Source organism: Homo sapiens, chromosome 9 (assembly GCF_000001405.40).
Source record: "Homo sapiens chromosome 9, GRCh38.p14 Primary Assembly".
NCBI classification, from domain to species: domain Eukaryota; kingdom Metazoa; phylum Chordata; class Mammalia; order Primates; family Hominidae; genus Homo; species Homo sapiens.
The window spans coordinates 73,839,034-73,848,333 of NC_000009.12; the positions used below are offsets into that span (position 1 = coordinate 73,839,034).

The following is a 9,300-nucleotide window of genomic DNA, read 5'->3' on the forward strand; positions in this document are numbered from 1 at the left end:
CAGATGATAAATTATATTTGAAAATCAAACAGCCAAATTTTATAGGCCTTTTCTCTGTCTTGTAAACATTCTCATCCTGCATACTCATGGAGAGAAGTAATGGAGAGAAGTAATATGAAAGAGCAAACCTAGATTATTTGTGTAGTAAACTAAATAGTATATTCCCCAAAGCAAGCAAACAAATGGTAAAAAAAAGAAGTTGAGCTATTCTGCATTTATATAGAAAGAATTGCACAGATTTCTTTTTTCAGGAGAAATGACTTGTGAGATTCTTTTACCTAGTTTTCCAAATATAGACTTTAACTCCAGCAAGCCTGAACAGATAGCTTAATGAAGACAAAGTCAACTAGACCCTTCTATAAAGATGGAATTTAAACATTGGTGTTAGCATTCAAGAGCCATGTGAGTCTGTTGACCATTTTGAGTCTTGGTTTTCATAGCAGCAAGTGCTGGAATAAAGGAATGGTTTTTAAACTGGTGCAGGAGCTCTGCTGAGCACCCAGTCTCTGAGATCCCCTCCTTCACAACAATCCATTTATCAAGTTCTTTTTTTTAATCTCTTTAACATATTTGCTTTTAGGTAATATTTCACCTGAACAAATAATCCAGTACAGTTAATCAGAAATCACTGGACCAGATCACCAGACGAAGCCTCTTCCCCCTGGATCTAAATGTTGCATAGTTCTCCAATCAGACAAACTCATAGTTATGCATAAAGCAATGTCCTGATTTACAAGCAGGTAAAATTCAAAAGTGAACAACTGTGAGGCGGAAGCTGAGGACATTGGGAAGTAAACCACATCCTTGACATCATTTTAGCTCTCCCTAACTTTGTTACCCCAATGGGTTTATAAAGTGTGAACCTTTATACAATTTAAATCAAATCCCTCTTTAAATTCTTTCAGAGGCTACTAGTTATTCTTGTGTAAAATTTAAGCTTCATGCCCAGCTAAAGACATTTTGTGACCTGGATGCTGAGGCCTGCCTCACTAGCTTTAATATTCACCACACCCTACAAGGCCCTACTCCTGACTTTTGGAGCTACTGTATTTGCACTTCCTCCACTTCACCATGCTTCTCACTCCCCTCTGTAGCTTTGCTTGCTCATACATGCTCATGCTTCTTCCAAAAAAGCCGACTTTTCTGGTTCCTCCTGACATCCTGACTTGATTAAACTTTTATTGCTTTCAGGAATCTTCCTCTGACTCTCCACAAACTGGATTAGATGGCTCTCAAAGTGGTGATTCCAAAATCCTGAGCTTACCTTTGGCAAAACACTTGCCTGAGTTAGACTTTCTTAAAATTGTCCTTCCCTGACATGATGCTGGAAACTCTTCAAAGAGAGAGACTATGACTTTAATTTCTCCCAGTGCCTCATAGAGAACACAGTAAGTGGTCAGTACATGCTTCCAGAAAAATTAATGAAGAAATAGTTTGAGATTACATATTCTGAAAATATTAAGGCCGCTTGGCCAAAATGTAAACGCTTTGTGGGGCTTTTACAATTGTTAATAGAAAAATCAAACTCTGGTCTGGGCACGGTGGCTCATGCCTGTAATCCCAACACTTTGGGAGGTCAAGGCAGGCGGATCACTTGAGGTCAGACGTTCGAGACTAGCCTGGCCAACATGGCAAAACCACGTCTCTACTAAAAATACAAAAATTAGCCTGGCATGGTGGAGTGTGCCTGTAATCCTAGCTACTTGGGGGGCTGAGGCAGGAGAATTGCTTGAACTCGGGAGGTGTTGCAGTGAGCAGAAATCGTGCCATTGCACTCCTGCCTGGGCGACAGAACGAGACTCTGTCTGGAAAAAAAAAAAAAATCAAACTCTGTAAAAATATATTAAAGAGGCTTATTCTGGGCCAATATCAGCCACTGCAGCACAGGGAAAAACACAATCCCAGGAAGCCTTGACTAAGAGGTCCAGGGGCAGATAGGTCACATCCCTGTTTTATACATTTTAGGGAAGTAGATGTTACAGTCATAAAGCAATACATGGAAGTTAAACATTGGTTTGGCCCCAAAAGTTGGGTATCCTCAAGTGGGGGCTTATGGGGCATAGGAGGGTTCAGAGATTCTTTAATTTGCAATTTGTTAAAGGAGTAATGCTTTGTCAAAAAATTTGGAGTCAGCAGAAAGGAATGTTTAAGTTAAGACGAGGAATTCTTTTAACCAATACACTGGGTCGGAGTGACCTGTAGGGGCATTTGACTTAACCCTTGTCTAGCATGGCCTTAGGTCCTGTTTATCACTTCATATCTTGTCACAAAGAGTTGTTTTATTAGTTCTATGAACTCCACTTTATTATTAATACTGCTTGGTTGTGTCTAAACTCCAAAAACGAGGGAATACAAGGGGGCGTGTCTAATCTCTTATTCTGTCATGGCCAACAACTCAGTTTTTCAGGTTTCTCTGGGTCCCCTTGGCCACAAGGGGTTCCACTCAATCAGTTGGGGTGCTTAGGATTTTATTTTTAGTTTACACAATCCCACCAAACATTAATTGCTGTAATTTTCAGCTAGTACATAACCACATACCTCTTTTTGGCTTTTTAATATTTCTACTACCTGGATGCAACATGTCATTGATAGTGTTGATTGTCATTGCCTGCTCTTCAGTAAACATTTTTAAATGGCTACATCAAAACATGCAAAATAAGTGTCAGTGGCTTGGAAGAAAATTTGAGACAATTGTAAAGCATTATTTTATCTACTAAAAACTAGATGAGTGTAGGAAAGGGTTGTGGTTGGGTCAGACGTGTTTGTCATGATTGTCGAAAGTGGAATCAAAGTAGCTTCACTGCAGATAACTACAAATTAGTTGGTTTAAGAATCCTGCCTTGATGGCACTTAATTCTTTATGAAATATTTCAAGTAATGGTCTTGATGGAGGCAGAAGACTACATTGTATGGGGAAAAGTGAACAGCAGTATTAGTTTCAATTCAAAAGTGATATTGAATGTGAATAATTTAATCACCTTGACAAATTCATTTTGCTAATTTTTTATATATGCCCGAAATAAATAATATCTATGTCTAATTAAAGGCAAAATGGTCCTTTCAAGAAGTATAAAGTGAAATTTCTAATTGATAAGAAAGTAAAACATCAAATAGAGTTGACAGTATTTTTCTTTGTTAGTAGTATATAAAATAATGGTGAGATGTCCAATTAGTGATATTTTAAGTTTAATCTTGTGGATTCAAACATGGGACCAAGCAATAAGTCTAAACCTAAAATTTAGGCACTTTTAATATTTAAGTAACTTTGTTTACAGGTTGAGTTTACTTAAAATTATTCTGTATATTATTAAATTATTTTTCCAAGTTCATTATACTTACAGTAAATTATCAGTAAAACTGAATTGCTCATGTGTTTTTTTTTTTCCACTCAAAAGAGATGAAGATAATATGTTGTAATTTTACCAAAATTGGGAGCTGTACTGTAGGAACAAATGTATGCCAAAATGGAGAGTTTGCCAGCCACCAGCATGAAAAGGAACACTTATATTTTGTTTTATTAGTATTCCAAACCAATACACCTGTCCACATATCAAATTCACTTTACTTATCAAAATCTGCTTTCACTTCCTCACCACCAATTGACACAAATCCATTTTCTGCAGCCTCTAATGCCTTGGTTTGTTTGTCTTTCAGCACAGGGATAATTCAGTGGCAGTGAATAGCTGGGATAGAAAGCATGGTGTGTTTCTCCTAAGCGTATATTGCATGTGGTACGGCACTTCATATTGTGAAGAGGAATACATTAAGTGGATGATGCATGCCATGCTTTAAAAAATGAAAAAAGAAAATAGCTTTCTTTCAAATATGAAGGACTTAGAATGAAATTTTAAGGAAATAGTAACATAAATACATGTAAAATTCACTTGGTGAATGTTTTTAGAAATGTTTTTTTAAATGGCAGCAAATGCATATCACTGATCTCTAGGTCTTTGCATTTTTAGACTTCTCTGATTAATAAGTAAAAATTTACATGGGGATAAATTTTGCTAGAGGGATTTCTCAATAAAGATAGTTGGGTCCCCCAATGTTAATGTAGCTTACTAATAGGAGATATGGCAAATAAAACAACTGCTAGAATATCTAAAAATTATAATCAAGATTGCAGAACATCTTAGGGATTTGTGTGTGTGTGTGTGTTTATAACTTTAAAAAGAGGGATGATATTCTACCTTCAAAAGGAACATAATTATCCAGAGCTGGTTCCTTAGTGAGGTCACTGGTGGACCAATTTTGCAGCTGAGAAACTGCCTTTCTTTCATGGAGACTCTGAATGTTGTTCTCTTAGCTCAGGTTTTACTCCTTGCCACCACTCTCTTCTTGTACTAATGTTTTCAGCTTGTATTCATCCACTAACCCCCAACATCATATTAAAGCTTCAGACAAAAAAAGGATTTGACTCATTTAGGGTCTAAGATCTGTATTTTCTTCATTGTAGCTGTATTTCGCATTCATTGTTTGTAGTGCAGAAATGTTGATATTTGCTACAGTTTGGACACACTCTTCTTATTAATATTATTATTATTTTCAGGACAAAATGTCTCATGCTTCTTTCTGAAGTGTAATATGTGTGTTATAAATATTTTTATGATAAAAAATAGTAAATCAAAGGTGCATACATCATGCTATCTTTTACCAAGCAAAATTAGTTCTCTGAAAATAAACTTCTTTATTTAAAATGTATAATCTCAGTAAACACTTATTTAGCGTTTATTATGGACCAGTCATCACTTTAAGTCCTTTATATATAAAATGATTTAATGTTGGCAGCAGATCTGTTTTATATTCAAGGAAACTGAGATATTGGAAAGTAAATAGTTAACTATTTGCTAACTAAGTAGAAACCATGGGATTTGAACACTGCTAGTCTGACACAGAGACCTTGCTCTTTCCGCTATTGTATATAGCATGTTAGCTATTCCAGACCAGTCTGTATTGAAACTCAACATCCACTTTCCAGCTTTAGAGCAATGTGCATTAAGAAATGGACCAGCAGAACCAACAAATACTTGAGTGCTTGTTACCTCAAGAAAGGAAACAGAAAGCAAAGTACGCCTGGGGAAAGGTACACCTGCTCCCACCATAGCTTCCCAGATGTGCATTAACCAATTGAAAAACTGTATATTGTTCAGCTTCTAACGTTCTGACCAGCAATAGATGAAGATTTCTTAAACTCTTTTATTTTCATTCCAATGTAGAACAGACAATTAAAATTCAATATGAGCCATTTTATCCCAGGCACAGGCATTAAGAACAATGGGAGCACCCAAGCGTGATCACTCAGGCTTTTAGGAGGGGTAGTCAATGCATTTGATTTTTTTTGTTTCATCATCCTGACTTCAGGAGACATGTTTGGTCTGTGTGGCCATACTCTTGCCTTGATTTCTGATGTATAAACTATTGCGCGTCAAAACAGCAACTACACATTGCATAAATTAAGTTATATCCAAATGTAACAATCTGGAATTTTATTTTGTAGTCAAAAAACAGATGAACACTAAATGTACAGGAAACAAATGTGAACATAGTTTCTTTTATATTCTCACATTTTTTATTGGGAAAATCAATTGTTTTCATGTTTCAAATGGGAACCTTCATTTATTACATAATAGCAATAAATTGTGAGAATTAGAAAATGCTTGGGTCTAATGTATATGTGTGATAGTAACATAGTTACAGGATTTATAAAATATAAGATATTTAAATCCTATTGTATTTAGGATTTTGGGTACTAATATAAACTCATTAGAGTCTCTAATATTAGGATTTGAGGTGATGGATTAACAATACCCCCTTTCCCCTTTGATTTTGTGTCACTTGAGAAGTAGAATTGGGCTCAAGAAGATGGAGATCAAAATATCAGCATTAGTATGAAGGAGATTTCAGACAAAACAGATTATGTGGATGGAAATGATGAACTGTGTGGTTACTTTCAGATAAGTTGTGGAAGCATTCAAGCATAAGATGAGAATATAGGCTAGGCAACTCTAATATCTCATCTAACCATGCAAGTGAGTGATTCTAAACCCAATATTTGCATTTAATTATTTTGAAACTCTTCATATTCACTACGTTTTCACAGAACATCTGGGTCTTTAGTAAAATAAAGAATAATAAAAAATACATTAAAAATCCACAAAATACTATAATTCTTGGCCAGGTGCAGTGGCTTATGACTGTAATCCCAGCACTCTGGGAGACAGAGGCAGGCAAATCGCTTGAGGTCAGGAGTTTGAGACTAGCCTGGCCAACATGGTAAAACGTTGTCTCTACTAAAAGTAGAAAAATTAGCCAGGCATGGTGGCATGTCTATAATCCCAGCTACTCAGGAGGCTGAGGGAAGAAGGCGGAGGTTGCAATGAGCCAAGATGGTACCACTGCACTCCAGCCTGGGCCACAGAGCAGGATTTCATCTCAAAAATAAATAAATAAATAATAATAATAATAATTCCTACCATTAGGTGGTTTTCATTTAAGCTATAGAGAGAAATATATTAAATATGCTATTCAAAATATTAACATCAACCAAATGTACTGCATTGAGAGATAAGAGAATATTAGTGAAGAGAGAAATTATGGTGGACTGCCATAAAAGAAAAAACCTCACCCTGGGGTTTTTCAAATGATTCATTTCAAATGAGACTCATTTCAAATGATTGGGGAGGTTTGGAAAGGGGAACAGAAAATACATAACAGAATAAAGAAACTAGTGCGCAGATATATACCAACTATGTGCCATTGTCAGTATGTACTAGCTAATCCAGTCCAGTTTTACTTGCACAGGAGAGGAAACAATCTAGCCTGGAGCAGAGCATCGATGATGAAGAGCAACAGAAGTGGCCAGGCCTTTAAGGTGAGAATGGACTTAGAGGTGCTTGAAAGGCAGAAAGAGAAAAGAAACTCTTACGCTCCTGAATAGGAGCTTACATTGTTATTTAAGCAATATTATTCTAGAGGGGAAAAACTAGAGATAAAATAAATAATAAAAAGGGTATAACAGGAACACGGGTATGAAACAATGAAATCCTGGGTTAGAGTGGCAGCATTGTAGACAGAAAGGAAAAGGTGAATCTGAGAAACACTTCCCTACAGGGCAAGAGGCTCTGGTAAAGCTCTAATGCCCTATGCTTGTAGAAGAAGCTTTAACTAGAAAGTACACTTTGTGAGCCAAATCTAAAACTCTGGGGGAAAACAGGTAATCTATGAATTTATAAGAATAAGATTTTATGTTTCACAGCTCAGAAAAATATCCAGAACTGCATCTTTGGCTTTCTTATAAATTCATAGATTACCTATTTTCCCCCAGAGTTTTGATTTTAACTCAGAAAGAGTACTTCCTGCTTAAAAGCTTATTCTACAAGCATAGCGTGAGAGAGAAAGAATTCCCTGACCCAGGAACCGGACTTGTTTGTTTTCAGAGTTTTTGTTTTCAACTAGTTTCGGCAGTGAGAGCGCAATTACATTCAAATAGGAGAGACTTGCAGTGTGCTCAAGTCCAGATTGAGAAAGAATCAGAGGTTCTAGGATTGACAGAAGGTTCTAATTGGCTTTTCATATGGGATAAAAGACTGGGATGTATGCTCTTTGTAAACTGAGGTGCCTATCATTATTCAAAGGATGACTGAACTCTTATTGCGGAAAAACGTGTGGGAGGCAATAAACGGTCTTTTCATTTTAACTTAAGTGACGCAATTAAAAATGATGCCCTGATTATTTATAATTTTTCTAAGCACCTCCTTCTCACAATACCACACCCCTCCTCATCACATAGTTACGTTTTTTCAGATACTAACCTATGTTACCACATGTATCTGACCTGAAATATCTACATTGGATCTGATTGTTTTTAAAAATTCATCAAAAATATAATGTGACTCCCTCCTTTCTTAAATATAAGTTGGTGTATTTGCAAAGGGAGGGTTATATCTTGTTCTCGAGTAATCTCCAAAAGTACTATTTGGTTTTATCATAATTCTCAGAAATAAAGTGAATGCACCTACAGAACCATTAGCTCTAAAATAAAAGGTATAATGCTGGGTTGCAACCCTGTGCAATTTCAGACACCCATGCTTATATTATATATTTCATTGATTAACTTAAAGTTACATGAAATATTTCCTTTGTTTATTTATTCATTCACGATCACCTGGAGAAAATTTTAAATATTTCTAACTTATTACAGTGTGATGTAAAAGCCAAGTGTGCCAAGGGATTTTAATATTCTCAATTTTTTTTAGAAAAGTTTAAAACTGGAGAAAATAATTGTCAGTGCATGTTTCCCTCCATTGTTACGTCTGCCACCTGATTAAACTATGCTAATGAGACAGTAACTCCTGCAAAATCAGCACTGGGCATCATTTGTCAATAAATGAAAACAAAAGTCTATCAATTTGGTACTTGTCAGTTTGCGTTCTTATAAACAACAACAACAAGGAGTAAGAAGAGCAAAAGGGTGAAGAACTTGTAGTTTCAAAATTGTCTTAGTTGGGGTGTTATTTTGGAGCTCATTGGTAAGGTCAGCTGATGCAGGATTTCAAAGGCAATTAGAGTAAATCAAACTGCAGAACATCCCCATGGGCTAGTTTGAAGATATCTTCGAAAGATGCTTTTTTTCCCGCTAACCCTGGTTGCTGCCACATCTAGCAGCTGCTTTCTTTTTGACAATTCGTCACTCCTGAAAAATGTTTGCAAGCAGTTTGAATAATTTCCAATTCATTCTTGCAGGAAATGAGGATTTGCTTCCTCACTTGGGATACCTGCTGCTAGGTTTATTCACTAATAAGCATGACAAATGTTTTAGCCTTTGATCAGTGCTAATTTAACAAGTAAGCTCCCCAGAAGAAAAAAAAGTCTTTGAGGCTCAGGGGCTCAAGACAGCACATGAGTTGGAAATATGATTGATTGTGTTGCTGTGAGAAATTTCCATAAAAAACTTTTATCACACTGCTATGTTCTCAACAATTAAATCAAAAATGAAAGATAGTTACTTTCCGAAGAAGGACAGAGGCAGTCTAGCAAACTTCACAAGACATTATTTTAAAAAAACTAGCTCAGAATAATTTTCCAGAGAAATATCAGTTTTCTTTTTCATCAATTTCCATCCACATTACTTTATCCATTTGTTTTTCCTCATTCTAACTTATCATCTTCACACATGATTCTTTGTTCTCCTCCCTCAACAGACCTACAAGTAGTATTTAAAATAAACTGTAACATGAAATGTATTATGAAAATTGAACAAATCAGACGGAAAATAAATGGATGCTTTGTTGTCATGAGTTT

General features: G+C 35.9%; 1 annotated feature.

Moving 5' to 3' along the window:
* Nucleotides 8,290-9,071: an enhancer, noted in NCBI's record as "OCT4-NANOG hESC enhancer chr9:76462239-76463020 (GRCh37/hg19 assembly coordinates)". NCBI's record gives its function as "activates a minimal SCP1, AML or CMV promoter by ChIP-STARR-seq in primed H9 embryonic stem cells {active_cell/tissue: H9 hESC(primed)}" and the evidence as "EXISTENCE:reporter gene assay evidence [ECO:0000049][PMID:30033119]".